The sequence below is a fragment of the Homo sapiens genome, chromosome 10 (genome assembly GCF_000001405.40).
Source record: "Homo sapiens chromosome 10, GRCh38.p14 Primary Assembly".
NCBI lineage: Eukaryota > Metazoa > Chordata > Mammalia > Primates > Hominidae > Homo > Homo sapiens.
The window spans coordinates 37124925-37139060 of record NC_000010.11 but is presented as its reverse complement, the minus strand read 5'-3'; the positions used below and the strand labels follow the sequence as shown (position 1 = coordinate 37139060).

The window sequence follows — 14136 nt, the reverse complement described above, 5'->3', positions numbered from 1 at the left end:
CCACTCTCTTCTGGCTTGTAGCGTTTCTGCCGAGACATCAGCTGTTAGTCTGATGGGCTTCCCTTTGTGGGTAACCCGACCTTTCTCTCTGGCTGCCCTTGACATTTTTTCCTCATTTCAACTTTGGTGAATCTGCCAATTATGTGTCTTGGAGTTGCTCTTCTCAAGGAGTATCTTTGCAGCGTTCTCTGTATTTCCTGAATTTGAATGTTGGCCTGCCTTGCTAGATTGGGGAAGTTCTCCTGGATAATATCCTGCAAAGTGTTTTCCAACTTGGTTCCATTCTCCCCGTCACTTTCAGGTACACCAATCAGATGTAGATTTGGTCTTTTCACATAGCCCCATATGTCTTGGAGGCTTTGTTCATTTCTTTTTATTCTTTTTCCTCTAAACTTCTCTTCTCACTTCATTTCATTCATTTGATCTTCAATCACTGATACCCTTTCTTCCAGTTGATCGAATCGGCTACTGAGGCTTGTGCATTCGTCACATAGTTCTCGTGCCTTGGTTTTCAGCTCCATCAGGTCCTTTAAGGACTTCTCTGCATTGGTTATTCTAGTTAGCCATTCATCTAATTTTTTTTCAAGGTTTTTAACTTCTTTGCCATGGGTTCGAACTTCCTCCTTTAGCTCAGAGTAGTTTGATCGTCTGAAGCCTTCTTCTCTCAACTCACCAAAGTCATTCTCCATCAGCTTTGTTCTGTTGCTGGTGAGGAGCTGCGTTCCTTTGGAGGAGGAGAGGCCCTCTGATTTTTAGAGTTTCCAGTTTTTCTGCTCTGTTTTTTCCCCATCTTTGTGGTTTTATCTACCTTTGGTCTTTGATGATGGTGACGTACAGATGGGGTTTTGGTGTGGATGTCCTTTCTGTTTGTTAGTTTTCCTTCTAACAGTCAGGATCCTCAGCTGCACGTCTGTTGGAGTTTGCTGGAGGTCCACTCCAGACCCTGTTTGCCTGGGTATCAGCAGTGGAGGCTGCAGAAGAGCGGATATTGGTGAACAGCAAATGTTGCTGCCTGATCATTCCTGTGGAAGTTTTGTCTCAGAGGAGTACCCGGGCGTGTGAGGTGTCAGTCTGCCCCTACTTGGGGGTGCCTCCCAGTTAGGCTACTCGAGGGTCTGGGACCCACTTGAGGAGGCAGTCTGTCCGTTCTCAGATCTCCAGCTGCGTGCTGGGTGCTGCGAGAACCACTACTCTCTTCAAAGCTGTCAGACAGGGACATTTAAGTCTGCAGATTCTGCTGCCTTTTGTTTGGCAATGCCCTGCCCCCAGAGGTGGAGTCTACAGAGGCAGGCAGGCCTCCTTGAGCTGCGGTGGGCTCCACCCAGTTCGAGCTTCCCAGCCTCTTTGTTTACCTACTCAAGCCTCGGCAATGGTAAGCGTCCCTCCCCCAACCTCACTGTCACCTTACAGTTTGATCTCAGACTGCTGTGCTAGCAATGAGCAAGGTTCCATGGGGGTAGGACCCTCTGAGCCATGCTCGGGATATAATCTCCTGGTGTGCCGTTTGCTAAGACCATTGGAAAAGCACAGTATTAAGGTGGGAGTGACCCGATTTTCCAGGTGCCGTCTGTCACCCCTTTCTTTGACTAGGAAAGGGAATTCCCTGACCCCTTGCGCTTCCCAGGTGAGGCAATGCCTCGCCCTGCTTCGGCTCATGCTCAGTGCGCTGCACCCACTGTCCTGCGCCCACTTTCCAACACTGTCCAGTGAGATGAACCGGGTACCTCAGTTGGAAATGCAGAAATCACCCATCCCTTTCTGCGTTGCTCACGCTGGGAGCTGTAGACTGGAGCTGTTCCTATTCAGCCATCTTGGCTTCTGTTATTAATTCCTACTTTTCATGATTAGATGTTCAATTATTTGTGGCTTGTAATTCAGGGCATGTAAGCTACTTTATAATTTGTAATAAAATTTATTTATAAATATATTAATTCATTAAATTGGATAACCTGATCATCCCCTGTTACTGAGCTCATCAATCACCCCAAGGGTTATACATTTTATAACAAGCCTAAGTTGTTAGGACAGTTGAGGAAACATAAAATATACAAACTTAAAACTTGCGTTATTTATACAAAAGTATTATATAGGATTTAGGGACCATAATTAAACAAATATTTTTTCAGGTAACATTTTTTGAGATTATAAACTGCCTACAACTAAATTCTTAACTAATTCTGAATTATAAACCAAAAAATCAAATCAAAGCTATATATATATATATATATACACACACACACACACACATACACACACCCACACCCACATATATGTATATATGTAAACACATGCTATTTACACATTGCTTTTTGAATTACCTTTTTGTGATCAACACTTCCATAATCTTATGATAGCACCACCAAGGGTAGTTTACTATCAGAAGTCTTACCTGGATTGGTATTTTGATGATTTTTAGATAATTTTCGTATATATTCCATAATTTGTTCATGAATGCTATGTATAAAAATGTGATAAATAAAATTACCATTTTAACACTGACTTTATAAAAAACATTTACCAAATTTATTAAGTTCTTAGAGCATTTCAGACAATATCAGAACTAACATCAGAACATTACTTATTCCATAGACTTTAAGTTTGTAAGCTCTATGAACTTATTAAGCTTCTAATTAAAGAAGAAATAAAGTAAGATGAAATACTCATGCATTTAGGGCAGTATAACTCAGTAAATTAACTAGAGTTAGCTTGGCTTAATGGAAAATCTCCCTAACTCAGAAAAAGTCCTAGCATGGTTACCAACGGGTATTTTTTCTTGAACAAGTTGCTTCTCTTAGGCTCAATGTCTTCTAAAAATGAGGATTTTAGAGCCCTATTTCACTAGACTATTATAAAGATCTAACAAGATAACATTTTAAAAATGCTCAAAGAAATAGTGAAGCAATGAAATAATTTGTTCTTGAACCTAATTGCTGAAACTGTTTTAAAATCCCAATAAAACCCAATGTGTTGGCCTGGTGCAGTGCCTGACGCCTGTGATGCAAGCACTTTGGGATGCTGAGACAGGAGAATTGCTTGAGCCCAGAAGTTCATGACAACCCTGGGCAACATAGGGAGACCCTGTCTCTACAAAAAATTAATTTTTTAAAAAAAGTGTTTCTTCATAGGTTATAATGTTCAAATGTTGCAGTTTTCTGTTATTAATTCCTACTTTTGGTTATTAGATGTTCTATTCTTTGTGGCATGTAATTCAAGGCATCTAAGCTATTTTATAATTTGTAATGAAATTTATTTATAAATATATTAATTCATCAAATTGGATAACCTGATTATCCTCTATTACTGAGCTCATCAATCACACCAAGGGCAGAAAACTAATAGATGTCAGCATCTGGCTTGGACTATTGCTACTCTTTATTTACCTCCTTAAACCTGAACTAACAAATCTTTGATAGAATGATGCTTAGTAACTATGATCATTTCCAGCTGCTGTGGAAGACAAAACCCACCACTGTTTTTTGTAAGTTCCACAAAGAAGATGCAAGTTGGTATTTTCTCATTTCTGAGATGCCTACTAACAGCATACTGCACACAAGATCCTATGTGTTACTCACCAAATCTCATTTCATACATCACCTTACATAAATATTTTTTGTATGAAAATCACAATTGCAATACTTGGTGTCACACATTTTGCTTTGACACATCATTTCCTTGGAGCTAGTTAGAAAGTAGTCAAATGTCCTTTTGGGGACTGCAAGAAATATGCAACACTTCACAGATTTGTGTGTCATCCTTGTGCAGGGACGATGCTGATCTTCTCAACATTGTTTCAATTTTAGTATATGTACCACTGAAGCCAGCACAAATCCCTACTTTTATACCTGAAGACTGATCAATGATGGATGAGGCTTAGCTCTGTTAAATCTAACCAACTTACTTGAGATAGAGTGAAGTCTATTGAATGGCTTCATGGTAATGCAGAATTTGAAAATATTTTAAAAACTTGAGATAGAGATGCAAGTAGCATGGGAGATTTTTACTTTTAGGAAAAAAGAATCACTTGAGGGTATAACCACAAGTTGGAACCCACTACAAATTTGGAAAGATGACAAGGGATCTTACGGAATAAGATAAGACCTTCTGCTACTTACAAAATGGCACTACACAGGATATAAAGTGCCAGGGATATAGATCTGGTAACAAAATAAAAATGGGTCTCTAATTTCTTCCTATAACATTACTTCAACCTGACTTACAGTTTTAAACTATCACAATTAATATTTGCAAGAGAAAATAGAAAAAAGTCATTCAAAGGATAACTTACCCTGAAGGTCTAGGCCAAGTCCAGGCTAAGATGTGGGTTTCACATCAGGTTTTGAGTGGAGGAGCAGGGTCAATTTGCTCACTACGTGTGTGGCTAAAGCTAAAAGTTCTAGCTGCCAGAGCAGGGTGCTGGTACTTTGGAAACAATGGCTGAGAATATGTATGTGAACTTTAAAAAACTGTAATAACTTTGAAATCTACATATGGATCACCATGAAGACTGAGGGATCTGTGTTAGTAAGGGCATCCTGGTCACAAAGGTCAATCATTACTAGACTGCAGGGGCAGTTTCAGTGGCAACAATGCAACAACAGAATCAATGGAAACAACAAAATAAAGAGAATGGTGATTTCTGCCCCCAATCCTTTTGACTTACACAAAAAGAATGTCTTCCTTGGACTTAGGGAACTCCTTAGATTTTTTTTAAAAAATTCAAGTATTTAGATATGGAAGACAGCCCCCAGAGGACACTATCAGGTTTTCTGCTAAAGTGGACACTTCAAGACCCAAATAACTAATTAGAAAAATCAAGTAGACAACATTAGGATCCCTAGGGATAAAGTTGTTGAAAGTCCTAAAATAAAGAATCCTGGACCCAATACTCCTTCTAACTAGTCTAGCTTTTTGCCTAGTTTCTGGCTGATGAAGTGAACTCACTGTAATTCAAAAACTACCTGAAACAAACTATAAAATCTCACCTAGCCTCTAAACGTAAACACTTACTGATGAAATCCACAAGTAACAGCATAATGTTCTGCAGTTACTCCACATATATCTGCAGCAAAGACGTCAACATTTTGCTGAAGAAGCATGCCAACTATCTCTGATGATCCATGACATACAGCAAGCATGAGGGCTGTGCTAAAATAACAAAGAGATAACTTCATTATTATGAGCAGAACCAATTTAATATGTGCCTGTCATTGTAGAATTAACCATTTACATGTACCAACAAACATAAGTATCTTGAGTGCTCAAGTGTTTATCCTTGTAAATCACCACCAAGGCTAAAAGGAAGGAGCAAAAAGATTCATGTCCCACGGGGATATGGCACACTAGAATTGGCTAATATAAAGTCCTTTGAGAGGCAAGAAATTATGCTCTGTTCACTAATCTAAAAGAGGCAAAGATTTAAATGAAAAATTATCTATTTCTTCCTTAGTCTGACATAATAGTTTATACTTCAAAATCAGCTAGAAGTCAGACAAGTGACAGCAATCTGAAGGCTTAAAACAATATTAGGAATAATGATATTAGTAGTAGTCATGCTAAGTTTAGTTAATGATGCTGATAAGAATGTATGAGACCCTGAATTAAATGCTGTTGACATTCATAATGTTACTTCAACACAATAGTCCTTAAAGGACATATTATTATTCTCCTTTTCATATAGAAAATCATACTTGGTATTAAGTAACGTTTGCAAGGTCACACCTATCAAGTGAGGAAGCTAGAAATTAAACTCAGTCTTGTGTGAATCAAAAGCCTATCTCTTTCCTCTTTATTACTCACCTATGGCTTAACTTAATTAACTAAAATTTTAATCCAATTAAAGATGTCTTTCTTCCTCTACCCATACAAATTAAAAATAAAAATACACTATGAATAAAAAAGGAAAAATAATAATAAATTCACAGTATCTGGTGATAGCAATTAATAGTCACGTAGGGATAACCTAAAATTAATATTCTTCAAAGAAAACAAGCAAACAGTCATCCTAAAGACAAAATGATTTTAAACTCCTATTTCTATTTAATTTTTCTTTTTTTTTTTCTTTGAGACAGAATCTCGCTCTATTACCCAGGCTGGAGTGTGGTGGCATGATCTCAGCTCACTGCAACCTCTGCCTCCAAGTTCAAGCGATTCTCGTGCCTCAGCCCCCCACAGAGTAGCTGGGACTACAGGCATGTGCCATCATGCCCAGCTAATTTTTGTATTTTTAGTAGAAATGGGGTTTCACCATGTTGGTTAGGCTGGTCTCAAACTCCTGGCCTCAAGTGATCCAACCACCTTGGCCTCCCAAAGTGGTGGGATAACATGCAACAGCTACCGTGCCCAGCAAATATTGCATTTTTTAAAAAGTGTATAAAAAACAGAGGTTAGAAAAATACTATAAAAGTGTTAATCATTTATAAAGTAAACTAAAAAAGTTCATACTTCTTAAAACTAATACAGAACCACTTTAGAAGATAATGCAACCAAAAACATCAGATTACACATAGGAATCAGTCAATATAATAAGAGAAGTCCTACTATATACTGTTCTTTATGTTGACCAGTCCAAATAATTGCTTTTCTTCTGATAATCTGTATTGATATTTTCACATAATCTAACAATTTTAAGTAAATGTTATTAAATATTTCTGACTTGAGTGTTATTACTCTAGAACACTACTCAAGTGTTTTTTAATAAAAAAAGAACTACTATACCATTTATACTTATTAACTGCATTCGCATTTGCATTTTTTATCAGCAAAAATTCCACAATTTGCTCACTTCTTTTCGTTATGGATAGTAAAAGTGGTGTGAGGCTAGCCTGTAAAATAGCAAAACAATTTATAATTCATGAAATTACATATTTCTCAGCTGAACTGAATACCTTATATAATATCTTATGAACTTAAACACATAAAATAGAAAGTAAATCAATAGCAGTCCCTTCTTTCTCCCTTTTCTGTGCTTTCCCATGCACTGCACCTTCCGCTGTAAATATTCAGCCTCTGCATCACCACATAACTCTGGTTATCTCCAAAAATCATTATATTGTAATGATTTTATGGTTTCCCATCTAAACCAAGAGCTTCTTGAGGGCAAGGGCTGTATCTTTTATCTCTATATCCTTAAACCCTAAGACATAGTAGTAAATACTTTGTTTTTGACTAAAGTAGTATTCTAATTTAGTGTTTCTTAAACTATATTCCAAAGAATAATTACCTTACCAGAAGCACTGTACCCCAACATATTCTACCATTATCTATGTTCAAGAAATATTATAAAACTGTGAATTAAATGTCCAGTATTCAATAAATGACTTGAACTTTGACTATTCCTTATTTGACAATATATTTTTGCAGCAGACATTAACATTTGACAAATTAGAATTTCAGGGATACAACTCTGAAAGCTTCCCAAGAAAAATGGAGGTTTCCTCTGGGTGATACAAACTCGCTTGATTCTCTTCTATCAATAATCCCAAGATCCCAGATGCCAATGTCAGGCACTCCTGTTCTACATGGGTCACTAAGGAAGCAACTCCAAATTAAAAGAGATTGGCTTCAAGTGAACTTTGATTGCTTATTATTAAATGGTCCATGGGGTTTCTCCTATTACAAGACAATAGAATTTTATCTCAGCTATTAGAAATTCAGTATAAAAGTTTATTCTCAATTATAATGATAATCCTAAAATTCTAATGCATATCTACTTCTTAAAATGCAGTAATCCATTTTTATTCTGGTTTCTATTGTAATTGCTATTTAATTTTTGGCAAAATATCAAAAATATTAATAAAATGGCTTATTAATGAAAGTTCTAACTCATCTATATGCATTAGCATAATAAAAGCCACTAAAACACTTGAATTTTAAGGGACAATTCTGAGAAGGATATAATATTATCTGCAACATGCATAACCTTTCAAATATAACCATGATTAATCTAAAAAGGCTTAAAGGCATTCTAATAGAAGATGATTATTTATAGTTTATATACAGAAAAATCATTGTTTAAAAAGTCCTCTAAATTCTAGAAGTCAACCCCATTATTAATGAATTAATGTAAAATATAAACTATATATTATAAATACCTATCAACTGTCTTGAATACCTTGAAATCTTTACCAAAATATACTATGAGAGAGGAATTGATAACTGAAGTATTTACAGAGGCAAAAGAGGTAAGCTGAGTAAGTGTTGTAACTAGGTGGGCACAGTAGCAAACTGGAAACATATGCTTTGTGTAAAGCTAGAATGTCTTCTTAGCATACCAAACAGTCATATGGGCTGGAGACACCAGATTCAATCCTTTAAGAGGAAATCCAGATTTCTGCATGTCTCCTAAATTTTACATGTTGACTCAATTTATGCAGGCAATTTTTGCTTTCCTCTAGTTTTACACTAATTGGAAAGAAAAAAAAACTTGGATGGGAAAGAATATTTGAAGAAGTTTTTACCTTTAACACATTCAAATATTTATCATAAATGCAGAGAAAATCCATACTCTCTAATAGTTCTTGTAAAAACATTAATATTTAAAGTAAAATCTTAGACAATTAAGTTCTTTCAAACTATTTTCATTCAAGGAATGTTTGAGCTTCCAAATATAAAAAACCTTACATATGTTAATGTTAAAACAAATGGATTTCAAATATTTTGAAAATAACATTGGTTAGTGTCTACCTTGTTGTGCACTTCGATGACTGCACCATGGGACAGCAGTTTTGCCACCACTGACAAAATCTCACTATAAACAGCATAATGGAGAGCCGTGTTGCCATACACATCTACGAGATTTATATCGGCACCAGAATCTATCAGAATATTTGCACAAGCCTCCTGATGGCATTGTAGAGCCTGTCAGTATTAAAGCAAGAATTATTGTAAACTGTATAATTTATAATATAAATTATTATAAATTATAAATTATAGGAAATCAAAATAAATATTCCACAGGTTTCAAAACTAGTTGTATTTCAATGAGATAAATTCATTTTTATTCTATGTATTTAAACCAAATCCATCTCCTGCTGAAAAATCTGGCTACTATTTACCTTCATCAGAGGTGTCCTGTGTTCGCCATCAAGGACGTCAAGCTGGCACTTTCTGTCTACCAGAAATGTTACTACTTCCTCATGGCCATTGACACAGGCCCAGTGTAGAGCAGTCCTACGAGAGTGAGAGGACTTTTTGGCAAAGTTTAGTCCACTGTCCCAAAACATACAATGAGTTATGTAACTGTAAACATTAAATACCACGCTCTTTCTCTGCCTTCAAAACAAATACTTAATATTCTCCTGAAGAAAGTACAACATTCATTTGCTCTCATTACTCACTACATTAAAGAAAGAGTGGCCTATTTGAATAGAAAGAGCTTGGCCTTTGGATTCAGTTCAACTCGGGCTTGAATATTACTTTAAGGTCTTTCACTTTCTAGCTGTCACTTAAACTTTCTGCACCTCAATTTTCTCATCAACAAAATGAAGATGAACACAGCAGTTATCTCACAGGTTATCACTATGATGCCTCAATGGGAATCTATGCAAAGTATTTTGAAGAGTTCCTAGCACATGTAACAGCTCAGTAATTGTTAGGTATTATAATTATTACTACTACTTAACAAAGACAGCATTTTAAGTAAAATGGTACAATTATGACTACATTGTGGTGTGTTTTAAAGGTTAGAGATAACACTGTATTTTAATGATTCTAAGATGCTCAATTTCTCATATTTTAACATTTCTGACATTGAAATGCCACTTATAGTTCATTATTTATTACAACTATATTTGGCAGAAATTTAAACAATCTTTTATTGGTGCATAAAATAAGGAGGCATCACACAATTCACAGTGCCTTCCAAGAAGTGGAATATGGTATATACAACAGGACGAGGCAGTCCTAGTCACAGGATTAACACTGAAAGAAATGTTAGCTTTTAAGAGTACTACGCAAAAGGAGAGTTGAAATAAAGACAACAAATTATTAAAACAAAGTACTTCTTTAATATTTTTAAAGCTTCAAGCCAAAGAAAACTTGGGATTCAAATAAATAGGTATGGCTCATCTTATTCCGTATTTAGATTTACAGAATGTATGTAAATTCATATTTAGATTTATAGAATGCATGTAAATTAGGTATTTCCAATGATTAATATTACTATTCAAAGCTATTATAAATTTCCAAAATCACGGTTGGTAGTTATATTTTACTAGTTTTTCACTTCAGAAGTGCTTTTTTTTGAAAGATGAGAGGAAAAGTTTCCATTGAGATTCAGTCCTAATACTCCAATTTTAAATCTCTCACTTTGCTCAGGCTGAGCAAGTAAATGTGAAATTTTTAAGAATGAAAGGGTCCTGAGAGTTAATAGAATGTATCTTTTACACAATAGGCATTCAGCTTACATGTGGTAAATGGATTAAAAGAATGGATCAATACAGTTGAGAAGTTCAATATCTTAAAACACTGCTATAAATAAAGCACTTATATTTGCTCTTTTATTTTTCTAATAATAAAACTACACTAAAATGATTAATCTGTAGTTATTGACGTATATGTAATAAATCTATATATAATAAAAATATGTGTCTAATAAAATGTACATGTAAATCAATAAGCACAGATAAAAAGATTCTCTTCTGAAGATGCTAAAAGTTCACAGAATATACTAATCCACAAAAAATAAAAATTAAAACATAGAAAGTGAGAAACTATTTTTATCTGTGCAAATTTCACATTGCTGATCTTCCCAAAAATTATTTTATTAACAATAAACTTTTACTAATAGCATTGTACATGCTCAATGCATAAATCAAAGATAATAAAAAGGAAAAACATTTTATATTAAAACAAATGTCCTCAAATAACAAATTTTATATTTTGTACATAATTTCAGATAACACAAGACCATAGTCTATGTGTATGTATAGTCAAACTGAACTTTACCCTCAGTTGGTACACCAAAATACATTTTCAAATGTCAACATACTTCTGTATATATTTCTACCTTGAGTGGTCAACTATTATCCCATGCTGTAAACTCACTGAAATGTATTTATAAAAGCCATTAAATGGATTCTTTTTAATACACTGATATTTTAAGAAGTGCTCAGAAAAGAAATTGCATGTATGTTTCATTATTTTCTAAAAATATTTTAGTATAATAGAATTGATCACTAATGGGCATATACAATTTTTTAAATATGGTACTTACCATCAAATTGTCTATTTGAAAAGTCATCTGCAACTTAAACTTTAAGGAGTACTATAAATATCACTGCTTTTTATCCTCACAAACTTTGTGGATAGAAAACAGTATTTGATTCCTTTTTTAACTTAAATGCCTTCTCTAACCAGGAACACTAAATATTATTTCCTGTGTGCATAGGTCAGTTGCAGATCTTAAAAAAGGACTTTGCCCAATTTTTAGATCTGCAATTTAGATCTCTAATTTAAATTTCCCAATTTTAAATTAGAGGGTTTTTTGTTGATTTGAGTGAATTCTCTATAAAGCGAAGATTTTTAAATCTAATATGTATACACACACACACATACATATGTAGTAAATATTTTTACAAGTATGCTGCCCTTTATTTTTTCTCATATGCAGGGTGACTTAATTTCTGTTTTACTAAATTGCCCTTCAGAGTGCTTGCTTCTGAGCTTCTTAAAAAGGTTTTGTCAAGATAAAAATGTATCTGTGTAAATAGGCATTTATATTTTCTTCCGGTATTTTTATCATTTTGTACATTAAAAACTTTTAATCTATATTCCATCAGGAACTTATTTTGTGGCACAAAAATCTAGTTTTCTCCAAAAAGCAGGCATTTCACTTAGGAAACTAATTCTTTTCCTGCTAGTATAAAGTGTGACCATTACCAAGTTCTAAATTCTTACATATATTTGGGTGTTTGTGGATTTTCTATTCTGTTGTATTTATTTACCTGTCTTTTCAGCTGTTAGCGAACAATTTGTGATTTTTTTTTTTTTTTTTTTTTTTTTTTTTTTTTTTTTTTGAGACAGAGTTTCACTCTATCACCTAGGCTGAATTGCAGTGGTGGGATCTCGGCTCTCTGCAATCTCCGCCTACCGGGTTCAAGCGATTCTCCCGCCTCAGCCTCCCCAGTAGCTGGGATTACAGGCACCCGACATCATGCCCGGCTAATTTTTGTATTTTTGTAGAGACGGCGTTTCACCATATTGGCCAGGCTGATCTTGAACTCCTGACCTCAGATGATCCACCTGCCTCCGCAGCCCAAAGTGTTGGGATCACAGGCGTGAGCCACCACTCCCGGCTCATCTTGTGCAAATTAATACCACATTTTGATATCTAGAAGGGCAAGACTTTTTTACTCCATTACAAAATATTTAAAATGTCATCACAATAGTAAAAGACAGCCTGTGTAATTTAAAAAATGTTAAAACGTTGATAACTTTATTTGGTTTATGTAAAACTGATAAAGAACTCGCATCCTGAGAAAAATGAGTCTTCTTAAATTCAAGAACATAAACCATCTTCCCACCTCGAAGTTTCCTTCTAAGGTCCCTCAGCAAAGAACATATTTACATAGACATTCATTGATATCAAAATGGATATTGGACTCTATCCAGATAATTTTTAGCCAAGAAGTACATATATTATGGGAATTATTTCATTACGCACCATTTCATAATGTATCTAACATTATCTTTTAAAACCTGTACATTAAATGTAAAACCCTGTATGTACTTAATTTTGTGAGTTAAATCACTTTAAAATTCTCTACACAGTCCTCTGTGAGAGGAAGTGGGAGTGAAGGAGAAAGCAGCTAAAGTTTGGGGTTGATTTTAAGGTGGCATGGGCCCTCCGCCCTGCAGGGACCCCGCATCCCAAGCCTGGGGGCCTGCCCAGGAAGAAGGCCTAGACCCGAGGGCCCAGGATGGCTGCCCCGCTGCCCGTTACTCCTCCACCTGCTCCCTTCTTCCCCAGGCCCCCCAGCCCCCGACTCTGAAGGGGCGATCCTCCCACCGCCCCCACCTCCTCCTGCAGCCCCGGCTCAGGCAGGGCCTGGTACCTCTTCTGGGCGTCTTGTATATTAAGGTTGATGGTCTTCTTCCTCTTTGTCATCTTCTCCAGCTTCCGGACTTGTCCCCGGGAGGCAGCTTTATGGATCTTTCTAAGATCCCCAGAGTGGACGATGTAGGAGTCGTTGCTGGTATAGACTAGCTGGCTGAAAGGGCTCGGGCGCTCCGGGCCCGGCACGACCTTGACAGCGGCGGCAGAGATCTCCTCCATGGCTGCGGCCACCTGCTAGAGAGTGCCCGCGCCTCCCGATCGCCCTTCCCAGCCACCACCCCCCACCCCTCCCCAATCGCCCTCGCCCTTCTTCAGTCCACGCACCGCCTCGATACCCGTAAAAAGTTCTGTGTTCGCCAAGCTCTTGCACACTCAGGCCTCTCTCAGTAGAATCGCGCTGAGCAGAGCCGTTAGCCAGCAGCGCATGCGCAGCTCAGCAGGCTGAGGAGACACGCGCCCTGGCCGCGTTCTCCGGGCACCGCGTGCAGGTGGCAACTGCCGCTGAGGCACTGCGAGGCTGGCGGGCCTCCCTGGAGCGGAAAGTGGGGGGCGCCATGCCACATGGCCCGCTTGACATAGCCGCCCCTGGCCCCTCCTCGACCTGCGATCCAGGAGCCGGACCCTGATGCTGGGCACGGTGCAGCCTCTTGGGTGGCACTGAGTGTCGGTTCCCGCCCTCCTGCAGCCAGGGACCCACCCCCTGACTTAGGCGCCCTGGAGGCTTCTGGCCCAAGGATCCGCGCTGCTGGTGACGCTGACAGGGTCGAGGTTGCAGCCCCTGCTGCCGCGTGCCATGTTCAGGTGGGAGCTGCACCTGAGTCCACGGTGGAGGCTAATCTTGTATTTTTTTAGTAGAGACGGGGTTTCTCCATGTTGGTGAGGCCGGTCTGGAACTCTTAGGCTCAAGCGATCTGCCCAGGATCGCAAAGTCCTGATCCCAGGACTTCGGAAGGCTGAGCGGGGCAGATCGCTTGACCCTAGGAGTTCCAGAACTGCCTGACCAACATGGAGAAATCCTGTCTCTACTAAAAAAAAAAAAAAAAAAAATACAAAATTAGCCGGGCATGGTGGCACATCCCTGT

At 37.3% G+C, this 14136-nt stretch overlaps 1 protein-coding gene and 1 pseudogene across 7 annotated transcripts in view; both read right to left on the bottom strand.

Moving 5' to 3' along the window:
* Positions 1-13463, bottom strand: part of ANKRD30A (ankyrin repeat domain 30A) — a 140297-nt gene extending 126834 nt beyond the window's left edge. For 6 of the 7 annotated variants that reach the window (XR_007062015.1, XR_930524.4, NM_052997.3 and 3 more), the window contains exons 1-6: positions 13053-13463; positions 9054-9168; positions 8683-8856; positions 6715-6821; positions 5008-5145; positions 2390-2454 (exon numbers count right to left, since the gene is read on the bottom strand). Coding sequence is in view for 5 of the 7 variants with exons in the window: in NM_052997.3 (NP_443723.3) it covers positions 2390-2454; positions 5008-5145; positions 6715-6821; positions 8683-8856; positions 9054-9168; positions 13053-13273 (820 nt within the window). In the remaining 2 variants the exon portion in view is untranslated. The remainder of the gene's footprint in view (positions 1-2389; positions 2455-5007; positions 5146-6714; positions 6822-8682; positions 8857-9053; positions 9169-13052) is intronic. The other variant, XM_047425992.1, reaches the window with a different exon arrangement.
* On the bottom strand, positions 3718-3824 carry RNU6-811P (RNA, U6 small nuclear 811, pseudogene; annotated as a pseudogene).